Genomic DNA, 16,254 nt, shown 5'->3' on the forward strand with positions numbered 1-16,254 from the left:
TAACATAAGAAATATAATAATTCTTATACAATAACCACCACCCTTATAAGACGATTCATGATTTTTTATAATTTGCAAAGTAGGTAAGTTTGCTGTGCTAGATATTAGAGAAGAGTCTTAGTTATATTTATAGAAGTGATTTTATTAAAAAATCAGGACATTTTATGCATATTTTATTATTTACTTTATCAGTCATTTGCTTTGCTATTTTTCTCAAAATGGCATTTTAAAACTTCATCCCATAAATAGTAAATTCTCGTCTTTGTTAAATGATTTGCTAGTCTAGTGCCTGGTTGGCAAAATCAGCTTTGTAAAGCAGGTTTTAAGATACAGGTGGAAAAATTAATAGTAATAATTATTTCACTGTAGCAAAAGCTTTCTCTTCAAAATTAAAATTAAACAAAGTTACTTGTGTAGTCAGGAAGGATGGCAAAGGCAGCACCGCCTCCTGAAACAATAGAGTCATCAGGCACGTTGCTGCCCCCGTCTAATTTGATGTGTCAGGCCCTAATCAGCTCTGTTTCACAGTGCTTTGCTCCATAAAAGCAGATTTGTTTAACCACAACCTCTATTTCAGCATGACTGGAGAAGGAAGAATAACGGAGGAGACCAGGCATATCTCACGTGTTGTGTTGTGGGTATAAAGTGAATCCATCATTTGCTGGAGAGGCAGAGGAAAAGTGACAGGCTCATTCATGCCTTCGAGACATTTTTGGGTCTATTGAAAATTTTAATCTGTGCACTCTGGTTGAACCTCCGCACTCCTTAATTTAGTACACACAGCCATGCGCTAGGTCTGTCTGCCTCAGATAGGGCCGGCTGGCTTCTGTAGGACAGCAACCCCCCTGAGGAGTTTTCTTCTCTAAATTCATCCTGCCTTGAACTTTACACACACATATAAGCTCCATTTACGGGAGGATTCCAGAGTTAATTAAACGCTGAATTTGTTTCTTTAGAAATCGCATATGCCTCGGGGTTAAGGAATAGCGTTTCAGCAACCACGTTAATTTAGGATTAAGCATACTGTACATTTTCTGAATAAATTTTATTTTTATAAGTATACATTGAGAGAGATGGGGAAATTTTCCCCCTCTGTTACCATAAAAGGTTTTAAAAATAGATTTAAAAAGGACACCATATGCCAGGAGATGCTGCAAATCAGCAAATTCAAAACCATCCTTTACGTAAAATGCATTGGAAACAGACAAATAAACTAGAATGCTGGAAAAATTGTTGCTTTGCTGATAAGGCCATGGAACGACTTCCACCGGAGGCTCCCAGCTTTAAGTCCTGTTCACTCTGGATTTGCTCTGTGCACACCACGGTAATAATCGCAGAAGCATAATATTTACAAATATTTGGGTCAAAGATGACAGGTCAGATTTTTATTATCAAACTAGCAAGTCAATACTGACATATACTAGTTTTAGTTCCACTAAAGATACTACATATAACAGCAGACACGTTTGTTCTTAATTTTCCTAAAGGTAGGTGTTTGGCAGAAGATAAAGCCTGAGCAAATAGAGAACAGAAGAAGCCAGGAAACTGGTATTGTCCTCGGTGGATTTACTTTGAAACACTGTACTATAAAAACTTTGCAAGTAATTCAGTACCTTGAGTTCATTTTCATTGATATCTTTGCACATCATGTACAAGAAAGTTGTGTTTTGGCAAAATGATCAATATCTTAAGTCACAGATTTACAAAATGCCAGAGAATATTCTTTGCATTCAAATTAAGAGAGACACAGAACATGAAAAAAAAGTGTATTTAAAGATCTCGGACAACCTCGACCTTTTTGTTTATATGTTTAGTTTAAATTATTAATGACATGTATGTGTTCACTTCAACATGGAATGTTTCTTTCCTTTCCTGTTCTTTTTCTCTGTCTGTAAAGTTTGAAATAAATCAGTAAAGTTTGAAATAAAAACAATTGTTACAGTTTCTGAGGTAGAGAGACAATTAGGTAGCATTTGGCATTTTCTGTAGGTCAGATGAGCGTATGGATTCTTGGAGGTAAAAAGTTCAATTCATGAAGAAGAACAGAGACAACCGAAGGCTACAATGACTACAGTAAAATAAAACAGCCCTAAAGCCCAGCCGAGTAAGCCCTCATCCATAAATCTTATTAATCAGGGCTACTTCGAAATACAATGAGCAAGGGAGAAAATTATGCCCTATTTCAGACTTGCCCAGTTTCTTTATCACTTAGAAGAAAGACAAAAAAAAAAAAAAGAAATTATTAGGACCATGTAAGACAGATAATCAAATCAAGGAACAATGCAACTATTGTCATATGTAGGATAGAAACTACGCATAGTATTTTGAAGAAGCATAAATAGCCTATATTGATATGTCAAATTTTTCCATTTACAGATGTGCGGAATTTCTATTGGTTGTGTGAGATGATCTCATTTTTAGGGAGACGTAGCTGTATGTCATTTATAGCTGTGATTTATATTGCTTGACCTATTGAGGTAAAAATAGTGGTTGTTCTAAGAGTATCCCCTGTCTGAATGCATTGTGCAGAGTGTTCATTCTGGAACACTTGCTGTTTCAGTTCTGATTCATTTTGAGAAGAATTCCTTTTCCGGACTTCTATAAACAGACATTGGCAAAGGAAATTAAATAAAGCAAACTAAGATGATCTAATTGTGAGTGAGTCAAAGCCTCATAAAGCATTATAATTTGGATATTTTATCTTAATGTCCGAGAGGAAGCTGCTATTAAACCACTAGCCTTAAGCAAAGCAACACATATGTAATAATGCAAACGAAGAGAATCAGATTGGCCCATTACTTGATAAAAGTTAATTGTTTTAATGAATATTTTTGGCAACTACAAAACAACATAATTTTATAATACTTCAAACTTATAGATGTAGTGAAATTACTTTTTAATGATGTTTAATTTTAATTTTTTTGTTTTTAAATTGTAAAGCAACTTAAAAGTTCTATAAAACTTCAAAACTATATGCATAGAAGGAAAAAAATAATCCTACCTCAAAAGGCGTACAGATCCCGACATTCATGGATGATAAGATCTTTCCTGATCTGTTTGCTGTCATTCAGTGATGACACACATAGACATTGTTAAATAGACATGGAGAAATATGAAAGTGAAGTTTTTCTGTTTATTTGCATGGGTCTGTTTTTATATTTTCACGAAATATATATCTCAAATATTTATCAGGTCAGCAAGTGTTCTTTGGAAAAAGGAATTCTGCTTTTTCTTCATTTTCTGATTCTTCATTTTATACATCTAGCACAATTTACTCAATCAGATTTTGTTGAATATTAAGGTTATTTCCTTTATTCACATATTGAAAGCAATCTTAGGTTGTTTATTTTCCTTCAAAAAAAAAAGCAGACCCACGATAATTTTCTTAAACTGTACATTTTATGGTATCTAACACAAATTTTCTTAAGTTTCCAAAATTATAAGAGGAATGGTTTTCATAGTTTTAAATTGCATTTTTCAACACTTGCAAGATTAACTTTTACAAATAAATTCACATATGGGAATTTTTATTTTATATAATTATCTACTTATATTTTTTTCTTAGTGATGTTAAGATCTTTTATATAATCATTCATGTATTACTATTGTTTGCTTTTTAATTTTTTGGGGAGCTTAAAAGGTTTGTTTGCCTGTTTTTGCATAAGTATGTTTCAAATGCATGAAATTAGTGTAGTTTAAAAAAATAATTTGTGCTCTTGTACGAGGGTTTACAAAAGCTTCCTTTCAAATCATGGAAATAGGCGATTTATTTATTTAACTATTCTTTTGTTTTGATTGGCTTTGTTTTTAACACTAGCTCATATAAACTAGGTATAATACATTTGGACATAGGGTAAAAGAGAAGAAATTTTATTGTATTAGTAAAAGGTTACTCCAGAGCTACTTACAAAATAATGTATCTTTTTTATTTTTTCATGATGGCATTTTTGGCATATACTAAAATCTGTACATTAATATCTACATTTGCACTTTTTGTTTTATTAAGTTGTTTCTTTTTTTTCTATTTGGGAGTACAACTTTGAAATCATTACAGTTCTTTAAAATATACATTAGTGTTTAATAGAGCAAGTCCTCTCATTATTATTGTTTCTAAAACTCTTAACAAATTTTCTTTCATTAATATCTTTAAAACCATTTTGTCACACTCTTGCTAATCGGGAAAAATAACTAATAGATACTAGGCTTAATGCTTTGGTGATGAAGTAATTTGTACAACAAACCCTTATGATACACGTTTGGCTATGTAACAAGCTTGCGCATCCTGCACATGCACGCCCAAAGTTGAAATAAAAGTTAAAATAATCCTCCAAATAATATTGTATTATATACATTTATGTTTCACTTAGGAATATGTTTCAGTTTTAAAACATTTTGTTTATACAATACAATTTTATAAAACCTTTCCCTATGTACCAAGTTAATTTTTAGATGATATACATATTTATGGTAGATGTGAGTGAAAGCTTTGTATTTGTATGCTTCTTAGTTATTATTGCTAGTTTTTGAAAAATCTTGAATATATTTCTATTAGTCTTAATACACATTAATTGTATTCCCTTGGCTTATTTATATAGTAAATAACATTTGCAAAGATAATTTTTAATAAAATGTTGAAACGTTTCCATGTTCTGTTATTTCAGCTAAAAAATAACTACAATAAAAACAGTGACCCATGTGTCCCAAGCACTCTTCTAAGAGCCAGAAAGACAGCTCTAAAATATCACCTCTGCTATTATAAAGTTTATAGTCTTACTTTATACCATATTTATTTCTATTTTGATAGTTCTGATTTATTCTTTTATTCTTTAATATATTGTTATATATTACTTTTCAAAGGATGAGCTTCAGTATTTATAATGTCTTTTTTTCTGTTACCTATATCATTAGCATCAATATATGCATTTTTTTTCTTATTTTCATCTTATTGGGGCTACTTTTAGTCTAACTTATTGCCTTGAGTGCCTGTTTTTTTTTTTTTTAAATCTTTCAAATTGGTTTGACCATAATTAGACTAAGGTTTATTGAGGTGGCATCTAGAGGGTGTTAAATTTTATGCTTCCTATCTTTTTTTTTCCTATCCAGACCCTATCTATAGCTATAGATAGATAGGGACATAGGTGATGGTAGAGATATAGACTAGATAAATCAGAACTCTGAGAGATTAGAAACTTCAACATCCACAAGAGAGTAAACAAGGGAAGAAAGAAGCCTTATTCTATTTTGAGGTCTTTCTTTGAACATTACAAATAATTTCTCTCCTTCCACTGCCTCCTTTAATTTATATTGGGGTCCCTTAGTTCTGGGTCAATTTGTTAAAATGAGCAGGTTATGAGATGTTGAGTGAGGAGCCCACACGACTGTCCTCCTGAGGTCCCGCACTGCCATCTGAGCAGGAGCAGGCGTCTGTCACGCTGAAGACCTGCGTGCTACTCTGTGGTTTCAGAATCCTGGTAGAGGAGAGCGTTACTTTAAGAAGCAGACACGTGAGCCTCCAGATGCAGCCAAGCATGAAATCAGCTCGGGTGGATAACCTTGAACAGCGACAAAAGAACAATCTCCTTCCAAACTGGGCTAGGAATTTGTATTACTGAACTATGCCAAGTTCGAAGGAGGCAAGTACGGTTGCTTGAAAGTTATGGGAAACAAACAAATAAAAACTAAAGAAATCCAGATCTTTCCAGGTGTAGACAAATGCTCTATTTCTGGATGACAGGTTTGATTTGCTTAAACACATTTCAATGAATTGAAGGTTGGAGTTGAGAGTGTGTCGTGACACATTCCTGTCTTACCAGAATAGGGGGGAGGAAATTGCTGATCCCGGGAGCTAAAGCACCTTTTTTCACACACGTGGTCGGCCTTTGGCACTTTTGTCACATGCACATTGCCTGCCAGCTCCTCCACCCTCCACTGGGTGAGGAGACGCTGCTGCCTTGAGTCAGGACCTGCATTAATGGGGGCGTAAGGTTTTTACTCAGCGGAGGAGACACCCCCACCTAGTGAAGCTAAAACTGAAATCTGATCATGAGGGAGAGGTTGTGTTGGTCTTGCCATTACTATGTGTTCATATCATATGTTAAATTTTACGTATTTCCTTTTCCACTTATCAGATACACTTTATATCAGTGCTTTCCTCCGATGAATTAAGATTGTATTTCTATTTTCAAATTATTTAAAAAATTGGAAATCTTTAGAGAGAAATGTTTTGTACCACTAGTTTGTTCTTACTACCAGATGAGTTTGATGGTGGGGCGGAAAGTGTTTCTTTAGGTTGGAAGTTAGAATGTATTCTCGAAAGTTTAGATTCTCATCTAAACTGATTCATATAAACCAATAGTCTAACAAAGAAAATGTGAATTCACTTACGTGTTTTCATTTAGATGTTACCAACAATTATTCTACAATTTGTAAGAATGTGTGTGTGTATGTATCTCTTGGTGCGTGTGTGTGTGTGTGTGTTTGGTGTATTATTAATTCTATTTCTTAACTATTTTAGGTGTTTGTAAATTAATTTGACTTAGCAAATTCTGGAAGCCATATTCATAGTTTTTATTTAAATCTAGACACATAAAGTCTTTTTTATTAATTTTCTCATGTCACAGTTTTCCACACTCACTCATTATGTCTAAAACCCAGTAGCTTCTAGAGGTAAATTGCTTTTTAGGAGAATATTCGCTAAGTATCTACACTCTATTTTAGTTCCAAAATCTTTTAAGTTGGAAATGTGCATGTGCCTGGGAAAATTGAAATCAAAATTAAATTTTCTGTCAAGGAAAATATAAAATTTGAAATCACAAATGACTCATTCCTTTCTAATGACTATTTTGCATCACTATTATTAATGACGTTTTAGAAGGTTTACACACATTCAAAATGTTAGTATCTTTTGATATTAACAAATGAAGGGAACACTTTCGACAATCAAGCTTTGGGTATTTTTTACATTTATTAAATATGTGATTGAAATTTATTTAATAAGCATTCCTGAATGACAAAAATAATTTAAATGCTGCTACTTTTAGAAAGATTAGAAGACGTGCGGCAGAGGGCTTGGGGTCATGAGTCTGGAGTATTGGACACATATACTAGTTATTCCACTAACTGGTTATGCTACCTTGCAAAATCCTTAATAGGGCTAAGCTATATTAGGGTCAGTTTCCACATGCATAGGCTGTGGTGTTTAGAATGATCTATTTAAAATTTATTTCAAAAATTGTATTGCTGTAATAAATGACAGTTGTTATTGCAAATTCTTCTATTATTATTAATATTATCAACACATTAATGTTAAAACAGTTGAGAAGTATACCTAGCAGGCAACATGTAAGTAACTATGCTGGATCAGAAAAGGATACCTTCAGGCAAACATTGTTTTAAACCTGGCATGTCCTGGTGCCAAGTGTGAGACAAGAGATTTCAATAAACAGCTTCTTCCACTCTTTTCTTGAGGATTCCATAAACAAGTCTCAGAGAGAACACATATTCACCATAGATTTTAAAATGCACGTAAACAACAATAGACAAGATAACTGAAAAGCATTCAAAATGTATGCATATGCAAAGGGGAAATGCGAAGCCAGGTGATACTTTTTATTATTAGAGTTTAAAGAGCCCGTTTGGAAGAGATTAATGGTTCACCATCACTGTGTCTCATTTGGCTCTGTTTTTTGACTAAGTTTTTACTTTCAGAAAATGAAATGATATTTCTGAATACATTTCATCGTAAGAATATTAACAAAGGACACGGTCATTAATGAAAACAGGCAAGGCGATTCACATAGGCAGACTCACCTCATATCCTCGGTCTGATGCTAGGTGCAGAAAATGGCATTCTTCAATTTCCCAAAATAAGAAAATCATCCTTTTATTAATTAATTTGTATCTCTAATGTTTTTTAAATTTAGTAAACCCAAAACTTGAAATACTTGTTAATACAAGTGGCTTAAGATGGAAATTCTTTGCACCATTTACATTTTAGTAAAATTTATACAGAAATCCCCCCAAATGCCCTTGCTATGTAATGCCAAGGTAGTTTCTAGTCTCTCCACTCACCTTAAAAATGAACATTTGTAGTAGCACCTCAAGTAAATTGGCTTCTATTGCACAGCTATGGCTTTGGGTTTTTCTCCTTTGTGTGTTCCTTGCCCCTCCGTTTGCTGCCCCTAAAAGTTTGACCCTCTTTGTTTTCCACCCTATGTCAATGCCCTTGAACTTGCTCCAGATCACCTGGTACAGTGGAGAAAGAAACGGGCCAGTAATGATTCCAATTTCAACCCTTACCCACCAGTGCCCTTTCTTCAGAGCCTCCAATCTCTGCCTCAAAGAGATGTCCTTTTGTAAGTTTTACTTAGAGAATTGCTAACTCCACTAAGCCTATTAAAAATGACTAGAAGTTTTTGCACGCAATATTCTGTTGAAATAATATGAAAAATTATGTTTTGTTTCTCATTTAGTCAAAGTAGAATTGTTTCCAGGAAAATGGTTTATTCTCCATCTGATTCCACCACGGCTATCGCCAGGAATATGGCAGCACCTTTGTTCCAGAGAGAGGAGGACTCCTGTAAGGAAGAGGCAGAAGAGAAAGCTGGAGGTGCTGTTCAGAAGCCACAAGAGGTGGTGACAGGAAATATGAGTCCCTGAGAAGTGGGGCACATGGTATAAGTGACAGTGGTGATTGAGACACCAGCTAAATCTGGTTTGTAAGGATTTTCTGATGACAGTCTGTAACCCTTCAGCCACCTTCTAGGAAGACCGTTTCTGATCTTCAACCTTGGCATAGCCCTGAATTCTTGAGTGACTGACTCAATCCACATTAGCTGTAGTGCCACTGTATGCTAAAGACGTTCCTCCCCGTCAGAATGGGAAAAAACAGGACGTAAGGCAGGGAGCTACCTCTGTTTCTCTTGCTAGAGTGGGGTGTGCTTATCTGTTTCTCTTGCTAGAGTGGGATGTGCTTGGGCTTCCCCATATGGAGAGAGAACACCCCACTTGGAATGCGTAAGGATTTTTCCATGGAAACAATATTGACACAGGGAAAGCGGATCCATACTCCATGGGTTTGGAAAGCTACTCTGTGTTCAATATGTGTTAGGTTGGCTTTTATGGATTTGCCTCAGAAGCTAACCACATTTCCGACACTCCTTCTCTAGGAAAAGGTCAAGTTCAGGGCAATGAGTTAGTAAGCCAACTACTGGAACATGGTGTATTTATATGGAACTGGAGTGAATCTCTTCATTGTGTGTGCGTATGGGAAGGCATGAGCCTCACCAACGGCATTCCTCAGCCAAACCTCGGAAGCTAGAATTCCAGCAGAGCTTCAGGATTATGATGTCGTCCTTCAGAAAACAAAACAAAACAAAACAAACAAAAAACATTCGTCTTTATTTTAGGTGTGTTATGCTTCTATAGATAACAAGTTAAACTAAGTATTTTTTCTGTTTCACATACAAAACCTAACTGATGGGTTTGCTTTTTGATGCTTCATTACTTGAGTCTAGCTAAGTGGTTAAGGGCATGTAAAGTTCATTTCCAGCCCACAGTTCTTTAAGCATTTATTTCCTTGTCAGTGTTACTATGTCAGCAAATATGTGTGGGTGGTAAGGAAGGCCCTGGGAATACTAACCATTTACCGATTAAATAAAAAAACTGCAAAAATAATGTAAATAAGGAAAGGAGCCATCAGCTAATCCCAACATTCTAGGTTAAAAAAATCAAAGGTTTGTAAGTAAAAACATGCCAACATTGCATATGTTTTTTAGCAGATTTCTCACAACCTGAAGATAAACATTGTCCACAGTGAGAGTTAATGGTACTGAATGCCTTATCTTTTAATGTGCTTTAATCTGGTGCGTTGTCCTCAGTGAAAGGAATAAAAAGGCTAGGTTATCAAGAGAGGAAACACAGGCCCTTATGTCTAGCTGCCTTTTACATGAATAGTTGCAAGCGGTATCTTGAGTTCTTGGACTCCGAGGAGTGGATTGTTTGTTGTCTTTGGCATACAGAAACGGGTAAACCAGTCTCCAAACAGTGATTCTTAAAAACTGGAGCAAGAAATGTATCCACTAAAGGGGAATGCGGATGTTTTTGCAAGTATGTTCCTCCACTCCCTCCTGGTGTATCCCCCACATCCCGGGTAACATTGTGACCTGTTTTCTAGTAAGCATAACTTTAAAAGTAGACTATGATTTATAAAAATCACCTCGCCAGGTGAAGGTTTAAGATGGATGAAACAGGTTCCTTTGATCTTAATGAAATCCTTAATGGTAAAGCCAACTCAGTTGTGTGTTTCTGTTAGGGTGTTTTTCTGCATTCATTCATAGTTTCTGAAAAAAAGCAGAGCAATATGGGAAGTATATTAATCATGTTACTGCTCTGGATGGATAATATATCAAACAGTATCATAGTTTCCTGGAAGATTTACTAAGCCTCTTCAATTACTTAACTCTTGTAGAATAATTTACATACTGGCAGAGCAGATTAAAAAAAAACAACACATGAATTAGGTCATTAACTAAGACTATTTCAGAAGCACCTGGATGAAGATAATGTTTTCATCTCCTCAATTCATCATGAAATACTGTTTTCTATGTATCAACCTGTTTTTTAAAAAACGCCTCTACAAATTATTGTTTCACTAAATCTTTTGCATCATCAATACTGTTGATCAAGGGCAAAGATTTATTAAATAATAAATTAATTTTAAGTAAATATTTTAACATTAATGTGCTTGTTTGTGGTATCAGTGTTTAATTCCAATTTGCTGATATGTCAGGCAGCAGTCAAAATTGTATGGTTTTTTTTTTTTTTTTTTAGTGGCTGCAATTCCTTTTTAGCATTTTGCCTCTTTCTCTAAATATTCTAAGCACAACTTGTATATACTGCTCACAGAGATACCCATAGATCAAACTCGCAAAAGTGCATTTGAACAAAGGGCTTAAACACTCAAATAATTAAATTGCAGGCTTTCCTATTGATGTAAAAGACATATTATTTTTGCTTAAACCTAATAGTCAATGGATTATGAAATTTAATACCATTAAATGTACCACCTGGAAAAAAAAGTTGATAATCTATGATGCATGCTCAGGAATAATTCTATACAGCATATATATTGGTCACAGTAACTTTTGGAAACTTTGAAATGTATTGAATATATTCCAAGTGAGTTGTCTTGTTCTTTTTTTTTTTTCTTCCCCACATGGTTTTCAGCTGATAGGCAGCCATTTTGTGCCTATCCCAGTTGGCAAATATAACACAATTTGATCTCTTTCCATTCTTAGAAACAATGAAGCCCTTTGTTTTTGCCTTTCAAGACGATAAATGGAATTGCAGTCATTCCTCCAGTGGCTAATACCTGCCAGCAGATCCTGAAAGATGTCATTGATTTCTAGATGTATCCTGATTTCAAGGTTGGTAAGTTCGGAGAAAATGTGTTTCCTAGAATAGATAAAATATATAGTATATGGTGGTAGATTCCATTCCTAAAACTGTCTAATTTGTCTACTCAAAAGAATGAACTGCCCAGCACTCCCATCCACGTATGGTTATCAATCCTAAGACTATAACGGCATTTGTGAAACATTCACCAAGAGATGGGGAAGTGGAGGCATGGGTATGATATGGAAGCTATGTCTTGATTTTCCTCTATTAAAATTTTCAATAATCAGGCCACATGGGATGGCTCAAGTCTGTAATCCCAATATTTCAGCAGGCCAAAGCAGGAGGATCACATGAGGCCAGGAGTTCAAGACCAGCCTGAGCAACATAATGAGACTCCTTTTCCATAAAAAATACAATAAAAAATTAGCTGGGTGCAGTTGTGTGAGCCTGTAATCCCAGCTACTTGGGAGGCCAAGGCGGGAGGATCACTTGAGCCCAGGAATTTGAGGCTGTAGTGAGATGTGATTGCACCACTTCCCTCTAGCCTGGGCAACAGAGCAAGACCCAGTCTCTAAAAAAAGGAAAAAAAGAAAAAAATCAATAATTAGTTATTAACATATTTCATTTACTTTCATTTTTACTAATAAATTATATATTTGTAAATAAACAAATATTTGTTCTCAGTTCAAACCAGTTGATAAAGAAGAGAAGCATATGTGAAATAAAATCAGAATCATGTAAAACAATACATTAATATTGCTTAATTTCATATATTGTGATATACGAGTATCACAAGATGATGATTATTGCCATTTTATAGGCTTCAGTTTGAAGTGCAATTTTTTTAGAACAGTTTGCAGCAGTTTCTCCTTGATCTTTTGCTTCTTTTTTTTTTTCCTTTTTGAGACAGAGTTTCACTGTTGTTGCCTAGACTGGAGTGCAATGGTACGATCTGGGCTCACTGAAACCTCAGCCTCCCAGATTCAAGCGATTCTCCTGCCTCAGCCTCCCGAGTAGCTGGGACTACAGTTCTGTGCTACCACGCCTGGCTAATTTTTGTATTTTTAGTAGAGACAAGGTGTCACCATGTTGGCCCAGCAGGTCTGAAACTTCTGACCTCAGGTGGTCTGCCCACCTTGGCCTCCCAAAGTGCTGGGATTACAGGCATGAACCACCATGCCTGGCCTAAAATTTTGAACATGCTCTTAGCAAGGGACAAATGGCCCAATAAATAAACTGAAAAATGGAATGTACAGGCATGGCTATCTAAGGGTAGCTCTTCTTTTTACCTTACATTTCATTCATAACTATTAAAATAAGGACATATTTTATAAATTACTAAACATATGCATTTATGGAAACAGCCATATACACCAAGACACCATATGAACAAATACGTAGCCTTTATACTTTTACTGCTAATATGTAACACCTCTAGATGTTTATACCTACTCACCTAATTTTTTTTTAAAAAATAACATTGTTTTTCTCATTATGTTTTTCTGATAAAAATTTTATCTCACATGGTATCCCTAAAATTTCAACTTCTTTGTTTAAAATTCAGTGCAGATTTCTTCAAAAGTGTGGCTACCCGACATAAACATCCTCTACCCAGATTCCATCTGAAGTGCTGAAAGATGAAAAGTATATGGGCTTTGGTGCTTGGCAGAACTGAGTCCTCTTTCCAGCAATGACCTTAGCTCACATACGTTTTCTATTCTGTAAAATAAAGGCAATAAAACAGGAATATTGTGCTGTTTCTCTGAGCTGATATGCTACACAGAGATCGCGGTGCATGGCTTTTTTTTTTTGAGACGGAGTCCCGCTCTGTCGCCCAGGCTGGAGTCAAATTGTCATTATAATTGTTTTGGTTATGACCTCTAAAATGATAACTATTATTTATAACTGTTATAATTAGATAACAATTTGAAAATGTTTATAATAACATTGTTAATTCAAAAAAGTGATTGTTATAGAACCATACTCTAGGTTTCCAATTAAAAAAAACTCTGCATAATGAGAAAATAGTAAATAAAATGTTCCGTAAGTGGCATATTGCTAATGAATATTTTTTAAATAAATAATATTTGTTTAATAAAATATACACAATTATAATGTCTTAAAAGAGATTGTAAAATTGTCACCAATAGTTGATGACTCATGAACAAGGTGTGGAAATTTATCAAAGTATTTATCCAAATAATGCTAAATGACCTGGATCCTGAAAACACACTCAACATAACATATTTTGAAAAAGAGCCAATATTTAATATGAATCTGCTATGACTTTGGAGGACCACTGCACAGAATTATCTCCTAGGACAGAGTACAAAATTGCTCCCCAAAATGCCAAGATTATTCGGTCACTACTCAAAAAGAATGTAAAACTTTATTCTGAGCATTTTGATTGAATAAAATACGAAAATGTGAACACTTTTATGTTTTTTCAATAAGAGAGATGCAGAAAGAAAAAGGTATTTAGTCTTGTGTCCTATCCTTTCTTTTTAGGATAGTAGATTAAATATTTGAGACGGGTAGAAGGGAGAGTCATTGTTTTAATACATTTGTTTCACAGTGACAAGATTTGTCTTGAGACTGGAAATTAGGGAGAAAATATTACTAGTGGATCTTGTAAAAGACTAAGCGTCAGCACTAAGGACAAAGGGGAATCAAAAGTAACACAGGTAACTCTAAGTGTGTTTGGTACATTACAAGGATGTTAATACCATGGATATTAATTTAGCAAGATTCTAATTTTAATTTGGGAAGAGTGGATAGTTGTGAAGATTCTACTTTTATTTTGAATATGGGTTTCAACAGATTATTAAAAAGAAGATAGATATTTCTTGGTCAGTCACACATATATTCACTTTTATATTTTTGACACAAAAATACACTGCCGACCCTTCCCATAATATATACCCAAATGTATGCAGTATCTGTGAAAAATACACCATAAATATTTAATTATGTAGGCCCTGATGCAACCCATGTAAGGAGCGAAAATCTAGGAAAATTCCCTATAACAAATTATAGAATGTTGTATTGATTGCATTATAGCCGTATAAACCTTCTCTTCCTACCAAACATCTAAGATTTAGTTCTTATTCTTATAGGTAAAGCCAGTTATTTATGTGTGTGTGTATATATATATTATGTATATATATATATGCATACAGAGAGACAAATACAGATTTTTTTGTTTATGTAAAAGTAATTTAAAATTTTCAAACAGCAGCAACTCAAATGCTCATAGGATTTACTGTGTTAGACATCAAATAAATTCGTAACTTTTCCTTGTGCTACAGAGATGTAATAGACAGCAGATCATATCATGTTAGAATGATCACATCATTCAAGAGGCAAGTAGGTGACTGAGGGTCTAACAACCTTGCCGGAAATTATATAATGAGAGTGCCATGGGGGCCAGACCTAGATCTTCTAGTTTTCAAATTAAATATCTGCTTCATATAGGCAAAAATGTTAATCCATTTGTGTGTTTTTTCCTAAAAATGAAAGTAGTATATCCCTTTGCTTTTCGTGTCGTTAAAACATAAAAATAATTTAAGATAATGCTTTGTCACCTTGGAAATCAAAAGCCTTTTAAAAGTGTTTTGTATTATGCTTACCAAAAAATGTTAAAAATGCATATGATTTCGAGAATAAATTTTAATCTTATGCTGTCTTGAAAACTACCATACCCCACAATGAATTTGAACATTATTTTAAGGAAAATAATTGTTTTATTGCAGCTTGTCAGGACCTACAAGAACTGACATTTAGCGGCACAAGGTTTAAAGTCCCTTTGTAACTATATTAAGTTCTATGGCTTAGATATTCTAGGGTATTTATGTATATCTCTCTCATTAAAGGCCATTAAATGTGGTACATTTCTTCCGTAAGATTACAATCTACTTGGAGACGAAAAAGTACACATGTAACACAAAATAAGAAGCATTACAGAGTTTTGCACATCAAAAATGGCAAAACTATAAACTCATAGAATGTCTAAATGTTGAAGTTATGGTATTTATTCCTATTTTATTGGTTTGGGGTCAGAAAATGTGTTCAATTTCAAATATGTTCAAAATATAAAACCAAGTGATTCTGTTAGCATTTTCATTTGATTCATTTGATTATCAGCTTAAGAAACAACAGTCTAAATGGTGATTCCTCATTTCACTAATCTGAATGGTTCTGCTTTGGATATTTTGATAAAAATCAACTGTTTTTTATGTTGCTTTCAAAAATTAGATTGGTAAAGATAATGAAAACAAAAATAATAATACCTGAGCATTTCTCCATTTTTTCTCAGCTAGGATGTGGAGCACATGTAACGGCAGCCTCGTCGATATCAGCTTCACGGATGCCATGTTGAGGTGGCTGCAGCTGTCATTCTGTGTCATGTCACTTTGCATGGTGCCTTATAATGGATGCTGACATGAGGTAGCAGGCTGCCCTCACACCTATGAAAGCAAACTTCAAATGAAAGCAGGTGGCTCCTTCTTTGCTGCAGTAACTAGTGTGGCAAATAAAATATTTAATAAATATTTTAATAAATAAATAAATAATACATAAATTTAATTTTTAATATATTTAATGAACAAATTTAATAAATAAAATATTTAATGAATAAATAAAATAAAATCTAATTGTGGAGAAGGATATTATATTGCTAAAATTGAACTGCATCTAGTAATTCCTGATAATAAAAGATAAATGTTATTTGTTCTAACACATGCTTTCTCTTGAATCATGTGACAAAATAGAAATCAGTCTAATTAAATTTGTTTGCTTTTTATATTGCGCTAGGTATCAAAATAGAAAATACACGACAACCAACCTCCATTGCTACCA

The 16,254-nt window shown here is 34.2% G+C and overlaps 2 long non-coding RNA genes across 2 annotated transcripts; one reads left to right on the forward strand and one right to left on the reverse strand.

Moving 5' to 3' along the window:
* Window positions 1-6,945: 6,945 nt before the first annotated feature.
* LOC124903203 (uncharacterized) lies at window positions 6,946-15,939 on the reverse strand. Its single transcript, XR_007063857.1, has 2 exons — window positions 15,687-15,939; window positions 6,946-10,340 (listed from the first exon to the last, which is right to left on the reverse strand). It is a non-coding gene; the product is annotated as an uncharacterized LOC124903203 (long non-coding RNA).
* Window positions 10,887-13,144, forward strand: LOC124903204 (uncharacterized). The gene is made up of 2 exons (XR_007063858.1): window positions 10,887-11,426; window positions 12,962-13,144. It is a non-coding gene; the product is annotated as an uncharacterized LOC124903204 (long non-coding RNA).
* Window positions 15,940-16,254: the final 315 nt, after the last annotated feature.

The sequence above is a fragment of the Homo sapiens genome, chromosome 13, assembly GCF_000001405.40.
Source record: "Homo sapiens chromosome 13, GRCh38.p14 Primary Assembly".
Lineage (NCBI taxonomy): Eukaryota > Metazoa > Chordata > Mammalia > Primates > Hominidae > Homo > Homo sapiens.